At 54.6% G+C, this 25,297-nt stretch overlaps 2 protein-coding genes, 1 long non-coding RNA gene and 1 other non-coding gene across 15 annotated transcripts in view, besides 4 other annotated features; 2 read left to right on the top strand and 2 right to left on the bottom strand.

The window, feature by feature from the left end:
• Positions 939 to 2,327, bottom strand: ADCY6-DT (ADCY6 divergent transcript). 2 transcript variants are annotated; one of them, NR_110019.1, is made up of 3 exons: positions 2,247 to 2,327; positions 1,355 to 1,489; positions 939 to 1,161 (listed from the first exon to the last, which is right to left on the bottom strand). It is a non-coding gene; the product is annotated as an ADCY6 divergent transcript (long non-coding RNA). The 2 variants fall into 2 exon arrangements; NR_110020.2 differs by lacking the exon at positions 2,247 to 2,327 and adding an exon at positions 1,784 to 1,898.
• ADCY6 (adenylate cyclase 6) lies at positions 1,500 to 25,280 on the top strand. 11 transcript variants are annotated; one of them, NM_001412819.1, is made up of 22 exons: positions 1,500 to 1,612; positions 8,036 to 8,903; positions 13,217 to 13,366; positions 13,738 to 13,859; positions 13,953 to 14,064; positions 14,243 to 14,370; positions 14,888 to 15,046; positions 15,124 to 15,265; positions 15,383 to 15,511; positions 15,776 to 15,801; positions 16,024 to 16,171; positions 16,420 to 16,517; positions 16,696 to 16,783; positions 16,956 to 17,072; positions 17,376 to 17,534; positions 17,827 to 18,005; positions 18,931 to 18,966; positions 19,050 to 19,179; positions 19,501 to 19,764; positions 20,504 to 20,708; positions 22,413 to 22,537; positions 22,758 to 25,280. In NM_001412819.1, the coding sequence occupies exons 2-22, from the start codon at positions 8,040 to 8,042 to the stop codon at positions 22,881 to 22,883; spliced, it is 3,507 nt and encodes a 1,168-aa protein (NP_001399748.1). In that variant the 5' UTR covers positions 1,500 to 1,612; positions 8,036 to 8,039; the 3' UTR covers positions 22,884 to 25,280. The 11 variants fall into 11 exon arrangements, 10 of the variants coding, with proteins under 10 accessions (NP_001399748.1, NP_001399749.1, NP_001399750.1 ...); NM_001412820.1 differs by lacking the exon at positions 1,500 to 1,612 and adding an exon at positions 1,823 to 1,876; NM_001412821.1 differs by lacking the exon at positions 1,500 to 1,612 and adding an exon at positions 1,922 to 1,983.
• Positions 3,438 to 3,982: an enhancer, noted in NCBI's record as "H3K4me1 hESC enhancer chr12:49181275-49181819 (GRCh37/hg19 assembly coordinates)". NCBI's record gives its function as "activates a minimal SCP1, AML or CMV promoter by ChIP-STARR-seq in naive H9 embryonic stem cells {active_cell/tissue: H9 hESC(naive)}" and the evidence as "EXISTENCE:reporter gene assay evidence [ECO:0000049][PMID:30033119]".
• Positions 8,047 to 8,864: an enhancer, noted in NCBI's record as "H3K27ac-H3K4me1 hESC enhancer chr12:49176393-49177210 (GRCh37/hg19 assembly coordinates)". NCBI's record gives its function as "activates a minimal SCP1, AML or CMV promoter by ChIP-STARR-seq in naive H9 embryonic stem cells {active_cell/tissue: H9 hESC(naive)}" and the evidence as "EXISTENCE:reporter gene assay evidence [ECO:0000049][PMID:30033119]".
• Positions 19,437 to 19,499, top strand: MIR4701 (microRNA 4701). Its single transcript, NR_039850.2, has one exon. It is a non-coding gene; the product is annotated as a microRNA 4701 (primary transcript).
• Positions 20,015 to 25,297, bottom strand: part of SPMIP11 (sperm microtubule inner protein 11) — a 44,025-nt gene continuing 38,742 nt past the window's right edge. The window contains exons 5-6 of the transcript XR_002957306.2: positions 21,242 to 21,386; positions 20,015 to 20,847 (exon numbers count right to left, since the gene is read on the bottom strand). The gene's annotated coding sequence lies outside the window, so the exon portion shown is untranslated. The remainder of the gene's footprint in view (positions 20,848 to 21,241; positions 21,387 to 25,297) is intronic.
• Positions 22,788 to 23,368: an enhancer, noted in NCBI's record as "NANOG-H3K27ac-H3K4me1 hESC enhancer chr12:49161889-49162469 (GRCh37/hg19 assembly coordinates)". NCBI's record gives its function as "activates a minimal SCP1, AML or CMV promoter by ChIP-STARR-seq in primed H9 embryonic stem cells {active_cell/tissue: H9 hESC(primed)}" and the evidence as "EXISTENCE:reporter gene assay evidence [ECO:0000049][PMID:30033119]".
• Positions 23,369 to 23,948: an enhancer, noted in NCBI's record as "H3K27ac-H3K4me1 hESC enhancer chr12:49161309-49161888 (GRCh37/hg19 assembly coordinates)". NCBI's record gives its function as "activates a minimal SCP1, AML or CMV promoter by ChIP-STARR-seq in primed H9 embryonic stem cells {active_cell/tissue: H9 hESC(primed)}" and the evidence as "EXISTENCE:reporter gene assay evidence [ECO:0000049][PMID:30033119]".

The raw sequence follows: 25,297 nt of genomic DNA, 5'->3' as shown, positions 1-25,297 counted from the left end.
GGATTAAAGGAATGAGCCACCATGCCCAGCTAAAATTTAATTTTTTTTTTTTTTTTTGAGACGGAGTCTCGCTCTGTCGCCCAGGCCGGACTGCGGACTGCAGTGGCGCAATCTCCGCTCACTGCAAGCTCCGCTTCCCGGGTTCACGCCATTCTCCTGCCTCAGCCTCCCGAGTAGCTGGGACTACAGGCGCCCCCCACTACGCCCAGCTAATTTTTTGTGTGTTTTTAGTAGAGATGGGGTTTCACTGTGTTAGCCAGGATGATCTTGATCTCCTGACCTTGTGATCCGCCCGCCTCAGCCTCCCAAAGTGCTGGGATTACAGGCATGAGCCACCGCACCCGGCCTAAAATTTCATTTTTTAACGCATATTTATCTCAATTGTTTTTTGCATTTTCCCCATGTGGCTCATGAGCACATTATTCTAAGCGTAAGTGGTAGATAACCTGATTCAGGTATTTTGAAGAGGAAATTTTGATAGCAAAAACAATTTTTTTTTTTTGAGACGGCGTCTCGCTCTGTCTCCCAGGCTGGAGTGCAATGGCGTGATCTCGGCTCACTGCAACCTCCGCCTCCCGGGTTCAAGCGATTCTCCTGCCTCAGCCTCTCGAGTAGCTGGGACTACAGGTGCCCGCCACCACGCCCAGCTAATTTTTAATAGAGACGGGGTTTCACCATGTTGGCCAGAATGGTCTCGATTTCTTGACCTTGTGATCCACCCGCCTCGGCCTCCCAAAGTGCTGGGATTACAGGCGTGAGCCACCGCGCCCGGCCAGCAAAAACAATTTTTAAGGAAATTTTGAAGTGAGAAGTCAGGCAAAGAGGCCCCAAAGATCAAATTGCAGGCCAGGCCTGCACAACTGAGAAATGAGAAAGTACCACTTTCCCATTTTCAAACATTATAACAAACATTTCTCTATCTGATTCTGAAAACCCTGTAAGAAAGACAAGGCAGATGGTTTTATTCCCATTTCAAGAGATTGATGATTTACCCAAGGTATATAGTTTGCAGGTACACGTGGCTGATAAATGTTGGAAACTGGCTTTCCCAACTCTTCTTTTCCTTGCCTGAAGCTCTGTCCTGGACTTAGGAATCCCAGTGGTGATTTGGAGTGGACAAGACTTGAGTCTTGAAGGACAGGACTGCAGGGAGGGCTGGTCCTGAGGAGGAAGCATCTTCAGATACCTAGGTCTTGGGATCTTGGGTGGGGAATAGGCTGCTTGGGGAAGGGCTGAATTGGAAGGAGGAGCTAGAGGTCTGACTGAGGGAATGGAGAGGGGGCCTCAAAAGGAAGCCAGGCAGGCTGCCTTCTTCCCAGCTCCAGAATGGCACCCCCTCTAAAGTCACACTCACCTACGTACATCCTGGAGTGAAACTCCTTCTCCTTTCTGCTTCCACCATTACTCTAATCCTCAAAGGGTTAACCAGCTTTCACACGATTTTCCCATCTCCCAGGTAACTTGGGCAGCTGCTCCGTGCTGGAAATAACTAAAGACCCAGTTTCTCAGTTCGTGCACTTAGCAATGCACCCCAGTAGCCCCTCCAACCCCCAGCAGAGAAGCACAGCCCTTTGGGTAAAAGATGCCTGGGGGTGAGGCTGCAAGTTGGCAGGTGCGGGGGAGGGGCTCCCAGAGAGTAGGGCGGGGGGTTGTGGGGGCGGCAGGGAGAGTGCCCCTTCCCTGGGTCCCTCCACTGGGCCCCGAGGTTCGCCTCGGGGCCGCTGCCCCAGAGACTGGGGGGAAGAGGAAAGAAGTGGTGTGCGGGCAAGCAGGCCGCACACACCTGGCGCCTTGTGGAATGAGAGCTTAATTAATTATTAAACTGAGTTCCCGCGGGAGGGCGCAGGGCCGTGACAGGCAGGGCGGGAATGGCTAGGTGGGGGCTGGGGCTGGGGCAGGGGCAGGGAGGAATTGGGGATGAAGAGTGGGCGCGGGGCGCCGGCCCAACCCCTGGGACCCTGACAGGAAGGAAGGCGACCCTCGGTGGGCGGGGCGGGGGATGTAGCCGTGAGGGGTGGGTTTGCGGGCGCGCTCGGGGACCCCCGGGGTGAGGGCGGGAGAGGAATGCCGGAGGAGGCGGCCGGGGTGAAGGGAAGGGGACCGGGCTGCGAGGTCCCCTCCCCGCGGGGTCTTGATCCCAGAACAGTAGCTGCTTGTCTTCCCAGGACTGGGGGAGGAAGCGGCCGGAGGAGAGGAGGGGGCGCGCGGAGGGAGGGGTCCCATTATTTGGCCTCCTCCGCCCCTACCCCGCTGCTAGGAAGGGGAGTGGGCAACTCGGCCCCCACTTCTGGGGAGGGGGAGGGGGATGCCCAGACAAAAGGAGCTTGTGCCTTTAAGGCGGGGAGTCCGGGAGCCAGCGGGGAGGGGACTTCTGGATCCGGGGTAGAGGGCGGCTGCGCTGGACAGCTCGGGAGGGGGCGAGGGCCGGGCGGACGGCGGACGGCGGACGGCGGGCGGGACGGCCAGGACGCGCGGGCTCGGAGGACCGCGGGACGGCCGGCCGGCCGGCCGGAGCCCGCGGGGGCGGCGGGGCGGGGGCCCAGGGCAGGCGCGGAGCCGGGCCGGCAGGTGAGCGCGCTGAGGGCTAGGGGAAGTGGCCGCTCGGGCTCCCGGTGCGCCAGGATTGGAACGCACCCGAGCGGCTCTCGACAAGAGTTTGTGGGTGGGGGCGCCGAAGCCTTGGACGGGTCGTCTCGGCAGTGTTGCCCGAGGGAGTTGGGGTTGGCAAAGGGAAGTCATGGAGGCAGTGGGATCGAGGACTCCTAGGTCCGGCGCTCGCCACCCCCGTCGCCCGCCGCCTGCCTCCCTCCACGGGGCGAGTTCCAGGCTGGCCCGGAGGCCAGGAGGATCTGGCACGTACTGGGGGAGGGGCTGGCCTGAGTTTTTTGCTGCGGGGCTGTGGGGTGTCTCCGAGTTTGGGGGAGATTCCATTTAGGGGAGAGGAACCGGCCTGGGCAGAGGGAGGGATGCCCTCTGTCTGCGGGAGTCCCTCTCCTTCCCCTCACCCAAAACCTTGGGAATGAAAGGGGTGGGGTCGGCTCCCCACATCCCCCAAGGCCTGCCGCAGGGTGGGCAGGGGAGCTGACTTTATTCAAAGCAGACTCTGGGGCTCGACTGAAAGGCTAGAGGTGGAATCAGGCGTGGGAGCCTCTTTGCCCATATCCTCTCCTTACCAGATTACCCCTGTGAGCTGGAGGGACCTGGTGGGGGTTGCATAGTAAAGGGTGATGTGGGAGCCCTCTGTAATCTTTAGGGAGAGTGAGGACTGGGGATGGGAGAAGGCGGCAGCGGGCACTGGACCGACAGATACAGGCCCTGGGTAGGCTCCTCTACATCTGGAAAGGCCCAGAATTGAAGAATTGAGGCCCATGTCCGAGTATGGTGGGTGGTGCTGGCACTGCTGGGCCCCGCCTGGGCAGTGCCTCTTACCATGAACTTTCTGAAGTCGTTTTTAATCCCCTGGAGCCTCCTTTTGCCAAGGAGGGCAGGGGCAGATGGGCCCTGGGGATGGGATAGACAGGAGGTGGCCAGGAAGGCTTGGCAAGGCAGTGGGCAGAGCCATCCTTAGGGCTGGGCCTTGGCCTTGGCTGGTTCCAAACTCTGGTCTCAGCCTGATCAGGGTTTGGGAGGGACTTGAGGTCTGGGAGGCACTGAGCCTGGGCCTGCCAGGCTGAATGGGACATGGCTGTGGCTGTGGGAGCCGGTGGTATGAAGAACAGCAGATCTGTGAGAGTGCAAATGGACCAACACTCAGGGGAGGAGAAGGTAGAGGCACAAGGCTTAGGAGCCTGACTCTGGGGAGGAGGGAGGTGGTCTGTGCTCCCAGGGCTCATAGTGATGGGTTGCTGGACAAAGTGGGTTGGGGGACCATATAGAGAAATTTTGTGGCTTGGAACAGTGCTCTACCCTGTTTCCTGCCATACCAGTCTGGCATGGGGTGCCAGAAATGTTGGGAGGCCGGCAAGTTCTGCGGGATGGGCAGTGCCTGGAGTGGAGCCCAGGGTGGGATGGTTGCAGTTGGTTGGACAATTACATAGCTCTGAAGCTATCCCCTTGGGGGGGGTCAGAGTGTTCCTGGGAGGGTCATGCATTCTCCTGGATAGCATTTGCCCCTTTCTCTGTGAGTATGAGCCAGATGCTAGGATGTGTTTCCAGGGGGCTTGGAACATGGCCAGAAACTAGTCCTTTGGGAACAGGTCCGGGCCAGTGCTGGTGGGGGTGGTGTGTTGGGGGAGATAAGAACAGGGAAGGGGACTGGTGAATGGAGGAGGCTGAAGCAAAATGTTGTGGGTGGTGGATGGTGGTGGGAAACCTGCTCACTCTGGGCTCTGTCTCCAGCAGCTCTGGGGACTGACAGCCAAGGACACAGGGACTGATAGAACCAGGCATCTGACTGGCTAGAAAGACGTGTGTTCTTGCTCATGATTTCCTCATCTTTCCATCTCTTGACGATGACAGAGGTTTGGGTTTAAAGTGTTGTAGAGTGAGGAGAAGAACTAATATTTTTCAAGTGTGTACTTCTTGACAGGCATTATTAGATTCTTTCCTGAGGACCATTATCATTTCCATTTTGCAGATGAAGGTACTGACACAGAGAGGTTAAATAACTTGCCCAAGGCAGTGTGGCTAGCAAATAATCACGCTAAGGTTTGGAACCCTGGTCTCATGCCAAAGATCATGCTTCTAATGAAGTATTTTGAAGAGCAAGGCTTTCTTTGGTGACCTTTTCCAAATGCCAGCCTGACCAAAAGTCTTGTATTCCTGATCTGTCCTTCCAGATGGTGCTGTTGGTGATGTTAAGAGGTTGAAGGGGCCAGGCATGGTGGCTCATGCCTATACTCCCAGCACTTTGGGAGGCCGAGACAGGCAGATCACCTGAGGTTAGGAGTTCGAGACCAGCCTGGCCAACATGGTTAAACCCTGTCTGTACTAAAAATACAAAATTTAGCCGGGTGTGGTGGTAGGTGCTTGTAATCTCAGCTATGGGGAAGCCGAGGCAGAATTGCTTGAACCCAGGAGGCAGAGGTTGCAGTGAGCTGAGATTGTGCCACTGCACTCCAGCCTAGGTGGGGCAGAGTGAGACTCCGTCTTAAACCAAAAAACAAAAGGAGGTTGAAGGACGTGCTGCTCTGTGGGATATAGGAGAAGGGGTGCTGACAGATCTTGGCTGAGGGTGACTCAGGGATGGGAGGTTTGGGGTATGCAGAGAATTCCCCAGCCTGCCTTCTGCGTGTGGGTCCCTGGGTGTCTGCTTCAAGCGCTGCCCATCTGGCTTGAGCTCTCATTCTATGGCCACCTGGGGCAAGTGCTGAGTATTCCTCCATCCTGTCCCCGAGTGAGTACAAATGTCAGTGCTGCTAGCTCAGCAGGTTTAATTACAAGGGACCCCTCAGGGTACTCTGTGAGCATAGAGGAGTGTGGCCCTGGTGGGGACACAGGCATGCATGGATGACAGTGCTGTCAGCCTCATCTTATTCTGACCTGGGCTCAGCCAGGAGTCACATTAAAGGTATCATCATGGAGTCCTCCCACCTCAGTTCATGACATTTCCTCCAGGAAATGTGGGATCTGGGACTGATTTGGTTACCATGATCTCTATAACTTGGGCCAGCCATATAAAACTGCCATGGACCTCAGTTTTTGTTTATATATATTTTTCCTTTCAAATTTGTCTTGTGCCCCAGGGGGCAACAGGACCAGTTTCTCAGGGTTTTGGTGAAGATCAGATGGAATTAGGGATGTGAAAAGATCTTGAACAGTTTAAAGCATAGAGAAAGTGCATGGAGTATCATTCGTCCATCCATCCAGTCATCCATCTACTCAATGAACATTTATTATTATTATTTTATTTTTTGAGATGGAGTTTCGCTCTTATTGCCCAAGCTGGAGCGCAATGGTGTGATCTCAGCTCACTGCAACCTCTGCCTCCTGGATTTAAGTGATTCTCTCACCTCAGCCTCCCGAATAGCTGGGATTACAGGCATGCGCCACCATGCCTGGCTAATTTTGTGTTTTTAGTAGAAATGGGGTTTCACCATGTTGGTCCGGCTGGTCTCGAACTCCTGACCTCAGGTGATCCACTCACCTCGGCTTCCCAAAGTGCTGGGATTACAAGTGTGGGCCACCATACCTGGCCTCAATGAACACTTGTTTAGGTCCTTCTAAGGGTTGTGGATACAGCAGTGAGCACAGCAGGTCAAAATCCTTGCCTTCATAAGGCTGACATTCCAGTCAGGAGAGACAGAAAATGAACACATAAGAAAAATATATAGAATGGCAGTTGCTGATTAGAGCTATGGAGAAAAAGCATAAAGCTGGGAAAAAGATAGAGAGCTCCAGGAAAGGGGGTTGCTATTTTAATAGGGTGGTCAGAGGGAGCCTCACTGATAAGGGGACATTTGGGATGTGACCTGGAGGAGCTCTTGTTCCAGACAGAGGGAACAGCAGGCACTGAGGTCCCAGGCTGGCCTGTGCGGGGTGTGTTGGGAAACAGCAAAGAGGTTCTTGTGACTGGGGTGCAGTGAGGAAGCTGAAGAGCCTTAGGATTATCACTGTTAGCTGGTGGCAGATCATGAGGTCAGGAGATCGAGACCATCCTAGCTAACACAGTGAAACTCCGTCTCTACTAAAAAATAGAAAAAATTTCCCTGGGCATGGTGGCAGGCGCCTGTAGTCCCAGCTATTTGGGAGGCTGAATGGTGTGAACCCGGGAGGCGGAGCTTGCAGTGAGCCAAGATCGTGCCACTGCACTCCAGCCTGGGTGACAGAGTGAGACTCCGTCTCAAAAAAAAAAAAAAAAAAAAAAAAACTCCAGATTTTTTCTTCTGCTTCTGTTGAGAAAAATCAGATCGGGACCCACTGGGACCCAGTGGCAACAGTCTACAGCTGCTGGGTGGTGCCTGCCCCATGCACAGGGTATGAACTCTTTTCCTCCCAGTTCTGAACCATAAGCTGCTTCACTCATTGACTTGGGCACTTGAGTTTGTGACCACCAACAAACAGTGCCTTTTAGGGAAATTTTCAAGTATACTGGCTTTGGGGTCAGACAAATCTGGTTTAGAATCGTGGTTCTCTCACTTATGTGGCTGCTGGATCTTTGGGCAACTCTTTCTTCTTTTCTTTTCTTTGTATTTTATTTTATTTTATTTTATTTTATTTCCCTCCCTTCCCTCCCTTCCTTCCCTCTCTCCCTCCCTCCCTCCTTTTTTCCTTCCTTCCTTTTTTTTTTTTTTTTCAGGCTATGGCTATTGCCCAGGCTAGAGTTCAGTGGTGCACAATCCTGGCTCACTGCAGCCTCCACCACCAGGGCCCAAGCAATCCTCCTGCCTTAGCCTCCTGAATGGCCCGGTCTATAGGTGCATACCACCACACCAGGCTAATTTTTTTTTTTTTGAGACGGAGTCTCACTCTGTCACCCAGGCTGGAGTGCAATGGCGCGATCTTTGCTCACTGCAACCTCTGCCACCCGGGTTCAAGCAATTCTCCTGCCTCAGCTCCTGAGTAGCTGGGATTACAGGCGCCCGCCACCACGCCCGGCTAATTTTTGTATTTTTAGTAGAGACGAGGTTTCACCATCTTGGCCAGGCTGGTCTTGAACTCCTGACCTTGTGATCTACCTGCCAGGGCCTTCCAAAGTGCTGGGATTACGGACGTGAGCCACCACGCCTGGCCCAGGCTAATTTTTTGAAATTTTAATAGAGGCAGGGTCTTGCTGTATTGCCCAGGTTGCTCTCACATTCCTAGCCTTAAGCCATCCTCCTATCTCGGCCTCACAAAGTGCTGGGATTACAGGTGTAAGCCACTGTGCCTGGTTTTGGGCAAGTTTCTTGTCCTGACTGTGTCTTGGGTTCTCACCTGTTGATTGGGGATACCCTTGTTGCCTACCTCCAAGTAATTTTATGAGGATGAAACTCATAGCTTGTCAGTGGGAAGTGCTTAGGTAATGAGCTACTAGTGGTGGCAGTGGCTGTGATGGTGGTATTAATACCACTCCTACTGGATGGTCTCTAATACTATCTCCTTCCTTCCCTACCAGCAACATGTCATGGTTTAGTGGCCTCCTGGTCCCTAAAGTGGATGAACGGAAAACAGCCTGGGGTGAACGCAATGGGCAGAAGCGTTCGCGGCGCCGTGGCACTCGGGCAGGTGGCTTCTGCACGCCCCGCTATATGAGCTGCCTCCGGGATGCAGAGCCACCCAGCCCCACCCCTGCGGGCCCCCCTCGGTGCCCCTGGCAGGATGACGCCTTCATCCGGAGGGGCGGCCCAGGCAAGGGCAAGGAGCTGGGGCTGCGGGCAGTGGCCCTGGGCTTCGAGGATACCGAGGTGACAACGACAGCGGGCGGGACGGCTGAGGTGGCGCCCGACGCGGTGCCCAGGAGTGGGCGATCCTGCTGGCGCCGTCTGGTGCAGGTGTTCCAGTCGAAGCAGTTCCGTTCGGCCAAGCTGGAGCGCCTGTACCAGCGGTACTTCTTCCAGATGAACCAGAGCAGCCTGACGCTGCTGATGGCGGTGCTGGTGCTGCTCACAGCGGTGCTGCTGGCTTTCCACGCCGCACCCGCCCGCCCTCAGCCTGCCTATGTGGCACTGTTGGCCTGTGCCGCCGCCCTGTTCGTGGGGCTCATGGTGGTGTGTAACCGGCATAGCTTCCGCCAGGACTCCATGTGGGTGGTGAGCTACGTGGTGCTGGGCATCCTGGCGGCAGTGCAGGTCGGGGGCGCTCTCGCAGCAGACCCGCGCAGCCCCTCTGCGGGCCTCTGGTGCCCTGTGTTCTTTGTCTACATCGCCTACACGCTCCTCCCCATCCGCATGCGGGCTGCCGTCCTCAGCGGCCTGGGCCTCTCCACCTTGCATTTGATCTTGGCCTGGCAACTTAACCGTGGTGATGCCTTCCTCTGGAAGCAGGTAGGTGGCCAGGGAGGTAGGGATGGAGGGCAGCAGGTGGGGAATTTCTCACCTCATAAGCAGGTGGGGGCTTAGTGAGGAAGGGCGGGTGAGTCATGGGTGGAAGCTGGGTGCAGGGATGTCTGGCTGTATCTGGGAGGAGGAGCAGGAGGTGGGAGGCTAGGGTTGAGGGGTCTGCCTCCATGTGGGATCTGGGGTAGAGGACACTGCTGAGGGGAGGGAGGGCCCCAGGACCCAAGCCTGAACTCTGTCACCATGGGCCCCAGTCTCCGGCTCTTTAGCCCGCTGAAATAGTGCAGTCTGTAGAGACAGAATGTGGGGCTGGAGGCAGGGGTGTGGTATATAGCCCCAGGGCCACCGTGGGGCTGAAAAGGCAGTGCAGGCTGTGTCCAGGCCTTAGCATCTCAGCAGGCAAGTTGACACCAGAGACTGAGGCGCTGGTGCTATCCCTGAAGAGCAGCTCTAGGTGGTGATCTGGAGGTATAGAGCAGGTTTTGGATGTTGTCAGCAAGAGAGGAGTCCCCTCTTTCCTGGACCAAGGCCACTTCTGGGAGGACAGGGAAGGTGAAGAGCTGGGGTCAGTTCTCTCTGGGCTGGATGTGGTTTGAATGGGGTTGGACTGTTGAAGAGAGGAGCGTTAAGTCTGATCGTATCCCACCTTCCCCATGCTGGGCACCAGGGACCTGGGCGCCTTTCCTTGAGGTTCTCTGTCCATGCCTGTTGCTGCCTCCAGGCTCCAAGTGTGTGTGAGGTGGGACTCCACGGCTCCGTGTGGAGTGGCTGTAGGCTGACCTGCTTATCCAGTGGGCTGTATTCTTTTCTGTGGGATCTTAGACAACTAGCCTCACCTCTCCCAGCCTTAGTTTCCCAGTCTGCAAAGCTGGAATAAAAATAGCATCTAGCTCATGTTGCTGTTGGGGCCCCACCCTTTCCTAGAGTGGAGTAGAACCCGACTGGGCAGTGTTCACACCTGGGGGCAGGGAGGTTTGGGGAGTGCTGGAAGGCATGGTACCCAGTGAAGGGGTTTCTGGGAAGTCCCTTTCAGAGAGATGTTAGTTTGTGGATCTGCCATCTCCTGTTACCCCCCTGCCCAGGGAGCAGAGGCCAGGGTCCTTCAGGCGCTGCTGTAGGCACAGCCCCGCCATCAGCACAGCGCCTGGGTCCTCCACTGGACCCTAACTAGAGAGTGCTGTCTTGCTCAAGGTTTTGAAGGCTTGTGGCCTGTTGCCCACCCTGCCTCAGGCACAGAGAGGAAGTTGCCTGGGGATCCCAGGGTGAGAAGCTAGGTTCTCTGGCATGATGCCCTTCTCCACCCAGCCTGTGCTGCAGAACAGAACTTACCTGTTTTTTTTGTGGTTTTTTTTTTTTTTTGAGACGGAGTCTTGCTCTGTCGTTAGGCTGGAGTGGTGCAGTGGCGCGATCTCAGCTCACTGCAACCTCTGCCTCCCAGGTTCAAGCGATTCTCCTGCCTCGGCCTCCTGAGTAGCTGGGACTACAGGAGCGCGCCACCATGCCCAGCTAATTTTTGTATTTTTAGTAGAGACAAGTTTCACCATGTTGGCCAGGATGGTCTCGATCTCTTGACCTCATGATCCACCCGCCTTGGCCTCCCAAAGTGCTGGGATTACAAGCGTGAGCCACCGCACCTGGCCAGAATGCCAGAATGCCAGAACGTACCTTTTTAAAAGTAACTTTATAGCCCGTTTGTTTGTGGAGCACGTGCCCTTAGGGCACTGTCAGACATCTTAAAGGGCCAGGTCCTTCTGCCCCAAAGCTTCTCTTCCAGGGTGGCTCTCAACCAGGGCTTTATGGCTGGACTGCCCTCCTGGGGAAGGAGCTTAGAGGTGGTGTCTCCTTTCCCCCTTCCTCTCTGGCCAGGCATGGGCTGGGTGGGCATCTGTTCCCTGCTCTCGACTGGCATGGTGCCCAGAGCCAGGCCCAGTGCCTGACTGGGGAGGTGCAGTCCCAGGGAGGCCAGGACTGTGCCCGTCTCCCCAGGAGTGTCTGGCTACAGCTTCATGTAGTGGATCTCGATAGGCACATTCTTGGGGCAGTGGCGAAATTCACTGCTGCCCCTGTGCCAGTCCTTGGGGCCAGAGCTGCCCATACAACTTCCTCTGGGCTGAGAAACATTCCCTGTGCCCATTTGGGTATGTGGGTTTCTAGACAGGTGGGGTTTGTGGCCTCCTTCCTCGTCTACTTGGGCAGCCCCTTCCCAGATCCACCCCTACTCACAATCACAGGAAGGAGACTTTGTCCCCTACCGACCCACTCATTTAGACATACTGAACAGTGTCACCCAGTGACCCAGGCCCAGCTTGGAGTCTCCTCCGGTCCCCTGGCATCCATTTTTTCTCATAGTCAGATAGGGATGTGTGTGTACAGAGTTATTTCAGTCTCGTCCCCCTTCCCCTTCCCTCCACCGTGACTCACATTTTCCTCTTGGGCTCCTGGGGCCAGGAAGGGAAGTTGCCTGGTTTGCCCCCCTTCCCTTCTCCCCCACTGGGGGCTATTCTTAGAAACCCCCAAGGGAGATAGTGTGCCCCTCTCTTCACCCCTGCTGCTGGGAGGGGGAGCTCAGCCTAGTTGATCCTGGGCCTGTGAGCTGGACTGGGAAGGGAAGCTAGGAGGCCCATCCCAGAGGCTGGAGCTGGAAATGGCTAGGGGTGAGCCAGGCCTCCCCCTCAGTTTTACCCAAGAGGAAACTGAGGTCCCAAAGTTTAAGTGACCTGCCCAATTTTGCAGGACTAGTTCTAGTTCAAGTTAGAGCCCAGAACCTCTGGCTTCCAGGAAGTGCTTCTGCTGTTTCTCTCCCTTCTCCTTAAACCAGAGCCCTGCCCCATCCAACTCTGGGGTGGAGCCGCAAGCTCCAGGTTAATTCCTGAGTTTCCAGAAACACTGAGGCCAGCTTCCCTTAGACTTGCTCTCTAGCCAGTGCCGCTGATGATGATTGGGGGCTGAACATTCCTAGGGTGGGGCCCTAGGCCTAGGGCCTGGCAGGGCTGAGTGTCAGAGGGAGTTACACCTTGAGGGGTGGCCAGGCATGGTGGACCCCATCTCCAATTAGGGGACATCCTTTGTATCAGTAGAACTGATGACTCTCAAGCCAGGGCTCTGAGGTTGGGCTTGAGAGCTTGACTCAGTAGAGTGAGTAGGAATCTTGGAAACCTGGAATGCACTACAAAGTATGGAATGCAGTAGATAGATAGTAGGATTAGGACACAGGATTTGGAATCTGATTGTCCTGGGTTCAAGTCTCACACTAGCCACTAACAGCTGTGTGATCTTGGGGAAGTTACTTGGCCTCTCTGTGCCTCATTCCCTTACCTTTAAAATGGGATATTGTTACCTATTTCACAGAGTTTTAAGAAATGTGTTAGGGGCCAGGTGCGGTGGATCATGCCTGTAATCCATGCCCGTAAGCACTTTGGGAAGCCGAGGTGGGCGGATCACTTGAGGTCAGGAGTTCAAGACCAGCCTGACCAACATGGTGAAACCCCGTCTCTACTAAAAAAATATACAAAAATTAGCCAGTCATGGTGGCAGGTGGCTGTAATCCCAGCTACTCTGGAGGCTGAGGCAGGAGAATCGCTTGAACTGGGAGGCGGAGGTTGCAGTGAGCCGAGATCAGGCCACTGCACTCCAGTCTGGGTGACAGAGCAAGGCTCTGTCAAAAAAAAAAAAAAAAAAAAAAAAAATGTGTTATTCAGTGTATAGAAGACACCTACAGAATCCTGGCATATGGTAGGCAGCCAACAAACTAGCTACCATAATAATAATGACAATGGTGATTATTGTTACTAAGTTATGTCAAGTCAGGGAGAGGCTTTAGAGATCTTCTCATTCTTCCTCTTTGGGTTATAGATGAGCAAACCCAAGAGAGAGGAGGTGACTTGTCCTGGGTCACTCACAGGAGGATGTAGAGCTCAGGTCTCCTGGGTGCTGTCCTTAAGGAGGAGCACCTGCAAAAGGAGCAGCGTTTGTCTTTTGTGTGGGGTGTTTGAGGAGCAGGAGATACAGGGTGCTGGGGCTGGGCCCCATGACTTATCTGGCCCTAGTTGGTCTTCTGCTTCCAGAAGCTGTGAAAAGATCTCATTTCTAGTCATGGAGGATTCAGGCAGTTGGCTGGGATCTGGGGTCCTGTGGGTAATGGGAGAGATATATTGCAGGGGTGGCAGTGGCTTGGGGACAGACAGGGTGCAGGACCCTGGCTTCCTTCCTCAGAGAACCTAGCAAGTTGTGTGAATGTGTGTGTGTGTTTAGGGGGGCAGGCAGAGGAGATGGTCACTGTCTGCCTCTGCCACCTCCTGCAGCTCGGTGCCAATGTGCTGCTGTTCCTCTGCACCAACGTCATTGGCATCTGCACACACTATCCAGCAGAGGTGTCTCAGCGCCAGGCCTTTCAGGAGACCCGCGGTTACATCCAGGCCCGGCTCCACCTGCAGCATGAGAATCGGCAGCAGGTGGGGCTGCTCCCCGTGACCAGGGCCTGCCCCCACCTTACCCCCAAATAACTTGCACATTGGATCTGCTGCCTTGTCCAGTTCCGTGCAGCACAGTGTGATGGTTCCCCTGGGTTGTGCGTCACAGAGGCCCTGTGATACTGGGGTTTTGTCCTGTCCAAGGGAAGGAGGGCGTAGACAGGAGCACATCTGGGGGCTCAATGGAGGGTGGTCAGAGGGGGCTCTGATGGGGGAAGGTCAGGCCACAGTCCAGAAGGGAAGGTCAGGTCTTCAGAGAAGTCTAGGAGGGCTCTGGCGATGTGGAGAGACCAGGAGGGATTGCAATGTGAGACCAAGAGTATAGTGATGCCCTATTGGAACCACTGGGCTAGGAGCGGCTGCTGCTGTCGGTATTGCCCCAGCACGTTGCCATGGAGATGAAAGAAGACATCAACACAAAAAAAGAAGACATGATGTTCCACAAGATCTACATACAGAAGCATGACAATGTCAGGTAGGGTGAGGGTAGGAGGATGCCCAGCAGGGCGGGGGGTCTGGAAGTCTTTGAGGGCTATGTGTTCTGTTCATCCTCTGCTGTCATCTACAGCATCCTGTTTGCAGACATTGAGGGCTTCACCAGCCTGGCATCCCAGTGCACTGCGCAGGAGCTGGTCATGACCCTGAATGAGCTCTTTGCCCGGTTTGACAAGCTGGCTGCGGTGAGGGTGCTGGGCCTTGGGATTGGGCCTGGGTGTTGACCGTGGTGAGAGCATAGCTTTGCTGGCAGCAGCTGGGGATTTGAGGGCAGATAGAGTATGCGTGGAGGGTGGTGGGCCATGCAGGCTGGGTGGGCAAGAGAGTAAAGGTTACCCTTCCCTCCAATTCCTTCCCATTCAGGAGAATCACTGCCTGAGGATCAAGATCTTGGGGGACTGTTACTACTGTGTGTCAGGGCTGCCGGAGGCCCGGGCCGACCATGCCCACTGCTGTGTGGAGATGGGGGTAGACATGATTGAGGCCATCTCGTAAGCAGTGCCCCATTCCTAGGCTTCCTGGAATTGCGGGTGCCCCAGACTGCTCCTACTTTTTGATGAGACCTCAGGAGATTTCCTCAGTTTTGGCTTTCTCTGTCTTTGAGGTCTGTCTGTCACTGGGAAGGGGAATCTTTCTCCAACCTGTGCAAAGACCCATGCGGACCCCTAGACTCCCAGCCAGCCGAGATGGGGCCGGGAGAGCCTATGCAGTAGGGGAGTTGGGCTAGAGGGAATGCCATCTGTGCAGGCCAGAGGGGATAACAGTGATTCCTCTTCTCCTAGCTCAGTTCCATAAGATGCTGCTGGGCCCCTGCTGTTGAACACAGCCTTAACATTTGTCCTTGAGCCCCATGCAGCCTTCTGCTCATGTCCAACCAAGGCTGTGCTCCCGTCCCCTGCATCTGGGTCTGTCCTTGCCCGCTGGGCCCTGAGAGGAGTGAAGGGCCTGGGTTGTGGGCTGGGGGAGGGGAAGACTGCCAGGAGCTGATCTGGGGCTGCATCCTCCCAGGCTGGTACGTGAGGTGACAGGTGTGAATGTGAACATGCGCGTGGGCATCCACAGCGGGCGCGTGCACTGCGGCGTCCTTGGCTTGCGGAAATGGCAGTTCGATGTGTGGTCCAATGATGTGACCCTGGCCAACCACATGGAGGCAGGAGGCCGGGCTGGGTGAGTAGGGGGGTCCAGGTGGGGGGGATGGGGGCAAGGTGGGAGAGCCAGGGTCTCACCCTCTTGGCCACATACAGCCGCATCCACATCACTCGGGCAACACTGCAGTACCTGAACGGGGACTACGAGGTGGAGCCAGGCCGTGGTGGCGAGCGCAACGCGTACCTCAAGGAGCAGCACATTGAGACTTTCCTCATCCTGGGCGCCAGCCAGAAACGGGTCAGGGCCAGGGCAGGGCTGGGGGCAGGGGAGCAAGAAGAGGGACAAATGGGGAGGAGCAGGCCAAGGCCTCCTCTGGGCCCCTCTTCTGAGCCTGTACCCATGCTGCCCGCACAGAAAGAGGAGAAGGCCATGCTGGCCAAGCTGCAGCGGACTCGGGCCAACTCCATGGAAGGGCTGATGCCGCGCTGGGTTCCTGATCGTGCCTTCTCCCGGACCAAGGACTCCAAGGCCTTCCGCCAGATGGTGAGGGGCCCTCAGCACCAGACCTAGGGCCTCATTTTCTTAGCTCCCTCAATACCCTGTCCCTGACCCTGTCCTTTCTTGTGACTGCCATTTCCATGTATGCTTTCTGGTATTGGGGCAGTGAGAAGATTTCATCTCGGGTCCCAGTGCCCCCAGAGGATATGACGGGGACACCCTCAGCACAGTGTTGGGGTGGGGGAAGGAGCTGCAGAGATGAAGGTTGTTGGCCCTTCACCTCACTCCACACTCTGTCCCTTTCTCCAGGGCATTGATGATTCCAGCAAAGACAAGTAAGTCAGGTTACTGAGGAGGGAGAAGGCACTTGCACCCTGGGATGGGGCTGGGGGGAGCCGAGATCCTCCTTTTCCCTGACCTTAGGAGTGTTGTGTGGGAGCAGGAGCCACCCCCCTGGCTCTCCCTCCCTCCCTCAGGTGCTGTCCATACCTTTCCTTTCATTGTTTCTCACATGGCCATGCCCATGCAACTGGTGAAACCATGTCTCCTGCCCTCAGCCGGGGCACCCAAGATGCCCTGAACCCTGAGGATGAGGTGGATGAGTTCCTGAGCCGTGCCATCGATGCCCGCAGCATTGATCAGCTGCGGAAGGACCATGTGCGCCGGTTTCTGCTCACCTTCCAGAGAGAGGATCTTGAGAAGAAGGTTTGAGGGATACAGGGCAGAAGGACAAGGGCTGGGGGAGGGGCAGGTCGCAGCAGGGAAGGCTGAGCACAGGTGAGGGCACAGGTGTTTCTGGGGGATGGAGAAGGGACCACAGAGCAGGGTGAGGATTTCATCAGTTGAGCCAACTGCATCTCCTCCCTGTTGAGACCCCTGGTAGTGCCCTGTCCTTGCTGTCCCTGCCTTCCTTAGGGAGGGCCCAGCACTCAGCTCAGCCTCCTCTCCCTCAGTACTCCCGGAAGGTGGATCCCCGCTTCGGAGCCTACGTTGCCTGTGCCCTGTTGGTCTTCTGCTTCATCTGCTTCATCCAGCTTCTCATCTTCCCACAGTGAGAGCCCTGCCTTTCCTCTCTTAGCTTCTCTCTTCACCACTTCCCAGAAGCTTCCTAAATACCCACACAAGCCCACAATCCCTGGAGCCTGCATCCCTGCTTGTTCCAGAGGGTGGGACAAGAATGCCCAGATCTTCCAGAATTAAATGATTTTTCTGGCCCTGTTCTGCCCCAGCTCCACCCTGATGCTTGGGATCTATGCCAGCATCTTCCTGCTGCTGCTAATCACCGTGCTGATCTGTGCTGTGTACTCCTGTGGTTCTGTACGTAAGGGGATTTCTGAGGCTGTTGGGGAGGGCAGGCTGGACTCCAGACAGGGAGGAGGTCACATGGGGAGAGGGAGAAGGCCATGCCTCTTCCACTGGGCCCCATCCCTGGTTGCCATTCCTCCTTGGCTGATACAACCTTCAACTCTTGGTCTCTTGATGCCTCTAGCTGTTCCCTAAGGCCCTGCAACGTCTGTCCCGCAGCATTGTCCGCTCACGGGCACATAGCACCGCAGTTGGCATCTTTTCCGTCCTGCTTGTGTTTACTTCTGCCATTGCCAACATGGTAAGGGTCCAGTGGGAATTCTCCCACCTCTGCTCTGTGCCAAGCACTGTCCTGGACACTGGGAGTACAGCGGAGAAAAGGACATATTTTCTGCCCTCAGGGAGCCCCCTCCCAGAATAGGGGAAGGTTAACTCCGGTTCTCCTTCCTTGTTCTCCCAACCTCTTGTCATCCCTGAGTGAGTACTAAGGCCCATGGGGTATAAGGTACCTGGGCATAGCCCAGGTTAGGGTACATGGCTTCACCAGGTACCTTGCAACCCTTTCCCTCCTTGGTTACCCTGATATACCCCTCCACTTTTGCAGTTCACCTGTAACCACACCCCCATACGGAGCTGTGCAGCCCGGATGCTGAATTTAACACCTGCTGACATCACTGCCTGCCACCTGCAGCAGCTCAATTACTCTCTGGGCCTGGATGCTCCCCTGTGTGAGGGCACCATGCCCACCTGCAGCTTTCCTGAGGTGTTCGAGCAGTGCTCAGGCGGTGGGGGGGCTGTCCTGGCACAGACATTGGCCCTTCTGTGCCAGGCCTGGTGATGGGCGCTGGGGACCCAGGAACTCACCAGAGTCTCCCACACTAGGAGCAACCAGGGGCCCTGGTGTGTTGTAGGGGCTGGGCATGGAAGGTGGAGGATATGGGGGTTTGAGGGGTGTGGTGGGAAGGTTAGGTCAGGCAGGAGAGTGCAGGGCTCTCCCTGCCCAAGGGTGCTGTGGCCTCTGCCTTCACCCAACGCTGCCTCTGCCACCCCCGCAGTACTTCATCGGGAACATGCTGCTGAGTCTCTTGGCCAGCTCTGTCTTCCTGCACATCAGCAGCATCGGGAAGTTGGCCATGATCTTTGTCTTGGGGCTCATCTATTTGGTGCTGCTTCTGCTGGGTCCCCCAGCCACCATCTTTGACAACTATGACCTACTGCTTGGCGTCCATGGCTTGTGAGTTTATTCTCAGGTCCTTTAATACCCCAGGAGCTTCCCTCACCTTTCTAGGTCACTGTGAGCCTCTCTGGTGCCCATGCCCCTTGTGCCTTGGAATGCCACAACACCCCTGTGGGGGAAAGGGAGGAGATGGAGGAGCTCCCAGCATGTGACCCCAAATAGTTACCCCCAAGGAAACCCTAGTCCTGGGAAATCCTTGTGTCTTTAGGCTAGACATTAAAAAAAAAAATTCCCTCTTACATTTGCATGGTGCTTTCACATCCACCATCTTAACCACCTATAGGACATACAGCTGCTTGGTGGCAGGGCTCTGGTTAGGAACCAAAGCTTCTGATTCCTGCTTGGGGGCTTTGCCTGGGACACCACACTGGCTTTTCCTCTGCAAAACCCCATTCCTTTGATATGTGGCCATAGCTTGTTGTAGTAGAAAAAGCCTCTGGTCTCTGCTGGGTTTGAATCCCTGCTCTGCTGCTCATTAGCTGTGTGACTTTAGACAGGTGAGTTAGCTTCTCTGAGCCTCAATTTCTTCATCTGTAAAATGGCAATGTCACCTAAATCACAGGGTAGTTGTAAAGATTATAGTAACTAACATTTATGGAAGGCTGACTATATGGCAGGCACTGTGCTAAGCCTTTTACATACATTATTTAGATCTGATCCCTGTTGTACTGATGAGGAAGGAGGCTTAGAGAGTTAAGCGACTTGTCTCAGGTCACATAGCTGGTAAGTAGAGGAGTCTCTAAGAGCAGAGGTTTTCTTAACCTCTACTCTTAATGAGTTAATTAATGTAAGTAAAAGCCCTGGCCCAATGCCTGACTTACAGTATGTGCTCAGTAAATGCAGTCTCTTGTCTCCCCTTCCATGTGCCCACCCAGCAATCCAGGAAGCACTGATGACTTTGTCTCTTCTATCTTCTTACCAGGGCTTCTTCCAATGAGACCTTTGATGGGCTGGACTGGTAAGTGAGGGCTCCGAGGCAGCAAAGGGTAGAGCCATTAGATGCCTCCTTCAGACACCAAGCATGTCTCTGCTTATCCTTAGTCCAGCTGCAGGGAGGGTGGCCCTCAAATATATGACCCCTGTGATTCTGCTGGTGTTTGCGCTGGCGCTGTATCTGCATGCTCAGCAGGTGGAGTCGACTGCCCGCCTAGACTTCCTCTGGAAACTACAGGTGACTGTGTGGGCCTTTGGGGGAAGAGGAGGAACCTAGGGGCGGAGCCTGGGCCAGGCCAGAAATGTATCTTGTGCTAGCTGGCTAAGGCTCAGGCCACACCTAGGCCCACCCTGGTTCCATTCCTTCTCTGTGCCCATCCCTTACTCCCTGCCCCATCCTCTACCTGCCCCCTTTACCCCTTTGCCTGTTCTTTAGGCCTCATCTGTCTGGGCCTTTCTTTCTCTATGTGATTCCCTCTTATCCGCACTTCCAAGCCTTGGCCACCACACCTACCCCTTGTGAATGTCGGGCAATGGGTGATGGGTGTGGTGTCCACAGGCAACAGGGGAGAAGGAGGAGATGGAGGAGCTACAGGCATACAACCGGAGGCTGCTGCATAACATTCTGCCCAAGGACGTGGCGGCCCACTTCCTGGCCCGGGAGCGCCGCAATGATGAACTCTACTATCAGTCGTGTGAGTGTGTGGCTGTTATGTTTGCCTCCATTGCCAACTTCTCTGAGTTCTATGTGGAGCTGGAGGCAAACAATGAGGGTGTCGAGTGCCTGCGGCTGCTCAACGAGATCATCGCTGACTTTGATGAGGTACTTTTCCAGTTGGCTGGTGGTGGCAGAGAGTGGGGGGTACTTGGAGACCAGGGATTGGAATGGGTGAGTGGAACTGGGAAGAGAGAGAGAGATTTGATGGGACCCAGAGTCATCAGGGGTAAGGGTATGCACAGTGGAGGCAGAGGCAAGAACCCATGAAGGTGTCAGAGGCAGCAAGGGGGTCAGCCCTAGTGGGGCAGGGTCATCACTGTTGGGGAGCAGGGGAGGACTTGATCTGTAGGGGGATAGGATAGGTACCAGGTGGATGTCACTGAAGAAGAAGGCAATAGTCTGTGGACAGAACCTCATGAGACCAACCAAGCAAGATGGTCCTCTGAATAGAGAAAATTGAAGCAAAATGTGAGGTAGTGTCCTGAACATCCAGATCAGGAATGGGCTGTTCACTGTTCTGGAGGGAAGTCACTTGCTCACTCTGGGACTCAGTATCCCAAAAGGTAAGGATTGGAGAAATTGCTTAATATTGCACTTGTGGGTCTGTGTTCTGTGAGTGAGCTACTGGAGGGACCTTCTGAAGCTGTATGCCCAAGTCCTGCCTGGAGTCCTAGGCTGCCTGTTTTCCCAGCTCCTCAGTCTTACACTGATAGCAGCAGCTGGAAGGGGGCTCTTGAGACAGGGAAGTGGGGAAGGCAGCCAAGGCGTGGCAAGAAATGAGTGTTGGGGCAGGGCTGGGTCTGGGGTCTTTGCCTTGACAGCCAGGTCTCCTTGTGTTGTTCAGATTATCAGCGAGGAGCGGTTCCGGCAGCTGGAAAAGATCAAGACGATTGGTAGCACCTACATGGCTGCCTCAGGGCTGAACGCCAGCACCTACGATCAGGTGGGCCGCTCCCACATCACTGCCCTGGCTGACTACGCCATGCGGCTCATGGAGCAGATGAAGCACATCAATGAGCACTCCTTCAACAATTTCCAGATGAAGATTGGTAAGAGGGCTTTGTTGCTTGGCGGGTTTTCCCAGGACTTTTTCCAGGTGAAGCTGGGATTATAGGCTGGGGATGGGATCACAGATTTCCCATCAGGGCTCCTGTGGGGTTTTCTTCCCTCTGACCTCCTATATCAAGTCTGATATTAAGAACAGAGATCATTAGGCACTGTCCTATAAATTTTTGAGCATATTTTAATCCTGATACTATTATCGCCTTTCATTGGATAGAGACTGACTCTCAGAGAGATTAAATAACTTGCCCAAGGTCAAACAACTAGTAAGTGGCAGAGCTGGGATTAAAAATCAGGTTTATATAAACTTGAATACTTCTGTCCTTATCTGTGACCAGTCCAATAAGAGGTATTTCCTCTCAAATGAACTGGTGGATGGGAGTGGTTAATAGCATGGCTACTAGAGATGGACTATTTGGTTTGAATTCTGGCTGCTCCATTTACTGGCTTATTTGAGAAGTCTTCTAACTTCTCTAAGCTTCAGTTACCTTATCTATAAAATGGGGATAATAATACCTACCTTTTAGAGGTGTTGAAAGGATGAAGCCATGCCGGGCGCGGTGGATCATGCCTGTAATCCCAGCACTTTGGGAAGCCGAGGTGGGCAGATCATGAGGTCGGGAGTTCAAGACCAGCCTGACCAACATAGTGAAACCCCTTTTCTACTGAAAAAAAAAAAAAAAAAAAAATTAGGCCGGGCGCAGTGGCTCACGCCTGTAATCCCAGCACTTTGGGAGTCCGAGGCAGGCGGATCACGAGGTCAAGAGATCAAGACCATCCTGACTAACACGGTGAAATTCCGTCTCTACTAAAAATACAAAAAATTAGCCGGGTGTGGTGGTGGGCGCCTATAGTCCCAGCTACTCGGGAGGCTGAGGCAGGAGAATGGTGTGAACCCGGGAGGCGGAGCTTGCAGTGAGCCGAGATGGTGCCACTGCACTCCAGCCTGGGTGACAGAGCGAGACTCTGTCCCCCCCAAAAAAAAAAAAAAAACAAAAATTAGTTGGGTGTGGTGGTACATGTCTGTAATCCCAGCTACTCGGGAGGCTGAGGCAGGAGAATCTCTTGAACCTGGGAGGCAGAGGTTGCAGTGAGCTGAGATTGTGCCACTGCACTCCATCCTGGGCAACAGAGCAAGACTCCATCTCAAAAAAAAAAAAAAAGAAAAGAAAGGATGAAGCCAGGTAAAATGCTTACTAGAGTGGTTGACATGGAATAGGCATTCAGGAGATTACTGTTATAGCATGGCTGTCTTGACTCAGGGGAGCTCCTAAACTGAGGTGCTCAGGTCTTTGGGTATTTTTATTTGTTTTTTGGGTTTTTTTTTTTTTTTTTTTTTGAGATGGGGATTTGCTCTGTACCAGGCTAGAGTGCCGTGGCACAATCACAGCTCACTGTAGCCTCAAATCCCAGGCTCAATCAATCTATTCTCCCACCTCAGCCTCCTAAGTAGCTGGGACTACAGGCATGTACCACCATTGTCCAGCTAATTTTTGTATTTTTTTTTTGTAAAGATAGGGTTTCACCATGTTGGCCAGGCTCGTCTTGAACTAGATTGTTCTTTACAACCAGGAGACTTGTCCTTTTTCCATTTTTTTCTCTGGGTCCTTCTACCAGTGCCAGGAGGTGGGATGACTCCCTGGGTTTACCCTGGAGCATCCACTAGTCTCTTGCTGTTCTCTCCACCTCAGGGCTGAACATGGGCCCAGTCGTGGCAGGTGTCATCGGGGCTCGGAAGCCACAGTATGACATCTGGGGGAACACAGTGAATGTCTCTAGTCGTATGGACAGCACGGGGGTCCCCGACCGAATCCAGGTGAGGGGGATATGAGCAGGGGCTGGGAGGAACATGGGCCCGGAGGGCTTCCACAGGTGTCTCTGCAGTCTGCTAGGACAGGGGTAGGGTGGCTAGTGTTCTGTGTATGGTGGGGCAGGGACTGGGGGAAGGGAGCTAGCCTGACTAGAGAACCCCTGGGCCCCTGCAAATGCAGCAGGAAGGATTCCAGGCTAAGCGGGCTCCCCTCCCACTCCCCCAGGTGACCACGGACCTGTACCAGGTTCTAGCTGCCAAGGGCTACCAGCTGGAGTGTCGAGGGGTGGTCAAGGTGAAGGGCAAGGGGGAGATGACCACCTACTTCCTCAATGGGGGCCCCAGCAGTTAACAGGGCCCAGCCACAAATTCAGCTGAAGGGACCAAGGTGGGCATTGAGTGGACTCTGTGCTCACTGGGTGGAGCTGTGGCAGGGGGCACTGAGCCTCCAGACCCTGCTAACCACAAAAGGGAACATCCCAGCAGGCTGTGCTTGGATCATGCTCGTCTGCCCTCAAGCTGGAAAACAAGGGGCTACCTACCGAGAGGATTATGCAAGTGACTTTCTTTCTTACTTGGGGTAGGGCTGTTCCCTCTCCAATCTTCCAGCCTTTGGGAGCAGGGGAGGGGTCAGTAGCAGAAGCAGAGGGAGGCCTCTTGCCTGAGGGATTAAAATGGCAGCTTGCCATGCCTACCCTTCCCTGTCTGTCTGGGCAGCAGGTTCAGGGCTGAGCCCTTCTTTTCCCTCTTTTTTCCTGGGAATATTTTGTACAATATTTTGTACAAAGACAGGCATGAGGAGTGCCTATTCCATGCTTGCCTTTGCAATACCTGCATCCCCAGCACTGGTCCTGGGCACTTCCCCACCCCAGCCAGGTGTCCCTCCTATGCACAGAGCAGAGGAGGGAGAAGCTCTGGGGAGCCAGCTTTGGCCATATTTCAGGAGAATGTTTCCATGTGCCAAATCTTAGTCCCATGATCTGTCCCCAAAGGGGAACAAAGGGACCTCTGACAGCTTAGATTTAGCCCCAGTTCCTGCACGCTCCAGGGAACGGGGTGTCTGGCCTCACTGGTACTGTGAAAAATGCTCAGAGAGCAAGCCTGTGTGTGGGGATGTCAGGTCAGGAGCTGGAAGTTCACCTGCAGGTGCCAAAGAGCAGGCCGGCCAGGGCTGGGGCAGTGCCAGACTCTGATCTGAGGACCCCGTCGGGGTCCAGATCAGGTCACTCTGCCCCAGTGCTCTCTTGCTGTCTGCTGACAAGGGGGCATGGAGCATCTCTTCCTCTTCTGTTGCCAAATAGAAAAGGGTCAGGGCATGGAGAAAGGTGACCCTGATCCCAAACCTGCCCTCCCAAGTCTCTGGTGTTGGGGAGGGCCCGTGTGTTTGTGTAACTGTGTGTGCATGTTGGTCTTTGTGTGCATATCTGTTTTCCAGGTCTATGTGAGTCCTTGTGCTCCTGCTCCTCAGCTCTCCACCCCAGGTTGCCTCTCTCCTGTGGGCCTCTGTCTTCTGGGAATAAAGCAGGGTTTCCTACTTCAGGGGATGTAGAGAGATGCCCAGGTTGCACAGGAGTGGGATGGGGTGTGGTAGCAAAAGGAGGGAGAGGAGTCCTTTTTGTGCCAAATCCCTAAGTGCCGTTCGGGGGCCATGTGTGCAGCATGACTCTCCCTGTCTGTGGCAGGGACCCAAGCGCTTGCTTAAGCCCCAGTGCTCCATGCCAGCACTTGAACTGTCTGGGGTTTGATGGACAGAGGCTGAGGAATTTCCTGGCTTCCCCAGATAGTGTCCTGGGACATGGTATGCTTTGGGGCTGGGGTAGCATGGAATCCCTCTGAGGACCTGGATACTGGTACTACGGGGTGGGGAAGAGGAACCTTAAACTTGGCTTTCCCCAGCCTTCAGCCTGAGTCTAGCATGTTTCTAGCTCCCCAGTCCCTTGTGAAGCCTTGAGGGCTGGCAGAAGGGTTAGGAGGTTGAACTCTAGATTCCCTTCCTGTCTTTGCCTTCCTTTTACCCCTTTCCCTGCAACCTCCTTGACTCTGGCCTGAATTTGTTGGTGCCTCAGTTTCTCTGTCTGTACCTATTTAAGCCAAAGGCACTAGCCTGAATTTTGCTTGAAGATCACTTTGTCTTGGAAATGACTAGAGAGGCAGAGGAGAAGGGTTTCCAGAGTTGCTAGGTTTGGGAGTGGAAGGGGCAGGCAGTGCACTTGCCCCTCCTCATGCCCCTTCTGACACCAGCTCCCTGTGGAGGCCTGGTTTCTGGGTAATGCCTCCCTTGGGCATCTTCATGCATCAACCAAATGGGCCATCAGGTACTTCATTAGTCATGGCAGAAGGAGGGGAAAAGACTTGTTTTCCAGACAGAAAATCTACTCCCCTGTCCCCAGCCATATCCCTGGATAGGAAGGGATAGGAAGAGACTACTTGGTGCCATGGGGTAGGGGTGAGGGTATAAGTAGATCAGAGTGGGAAGACCTCAGCCTTGGGTGGCTTGTCTCTGCTTCTTGCCAGGTGGGAGGGCCTGTCCACACCCTGGATCCCCGTACCACAGTGCCAGCCATGCCCTTCCCCTGGGCTACCATTGTCCCTTTCCTCACCCAGTTGGTAGAGGAGTCAGGAGGTGGGAGGCCGTGGGCTTTGGTTTTATAATGTAACCACTGTGGGGGTGGGGGAGGATGGTGAACCATGTATTTCAGTGAAATATTTAATATATTTAAATATCAATAAAATCAAACTCTTTGTAAAATTCTCTGTTCTCTGTAG

This window comes from Homo sapiens, chromosome 12 (assembly GCF_000001405.40).
Source record: "Homo sapiens chromosome 12, GRCh38.p14 Primary Assembly".
Taxonomy (NCBI): domain Eukaryota; kingdom Metazoa; phylum Chordata; class Mammalia; order Primates; family Hominidae; genus Homo; species Homo sapiens.
This window is presented reverse-complemented; position numbering and strand designations above follow the sequence as displayed.

Bases quoted from the DNA above. Each gene is read 5' to 3' on its own strand.
- ADCY6 (NM_001412819.1), top strand. From the start codon at position 8,040: ATGTCATGGTTTAGTGGCCTCCTGGTCCCTAAAGTGGATGAACGGAAA. The intron at 17,535-17,826 runs GTGTTCGAGCAG...CCACCCCCGCAG, and splicing joins CCACCTGCAGCTTTCCTGAG to TACTTCATCGGGAACATGCT. The intron at 18,967-19,049 runs GTAAGTGAGGGC...GCTTATCCTTAG, and splicing joins ACCTTTGATGGGCTGGACTG to TCCAGCTGCAGGGAGGGTGG.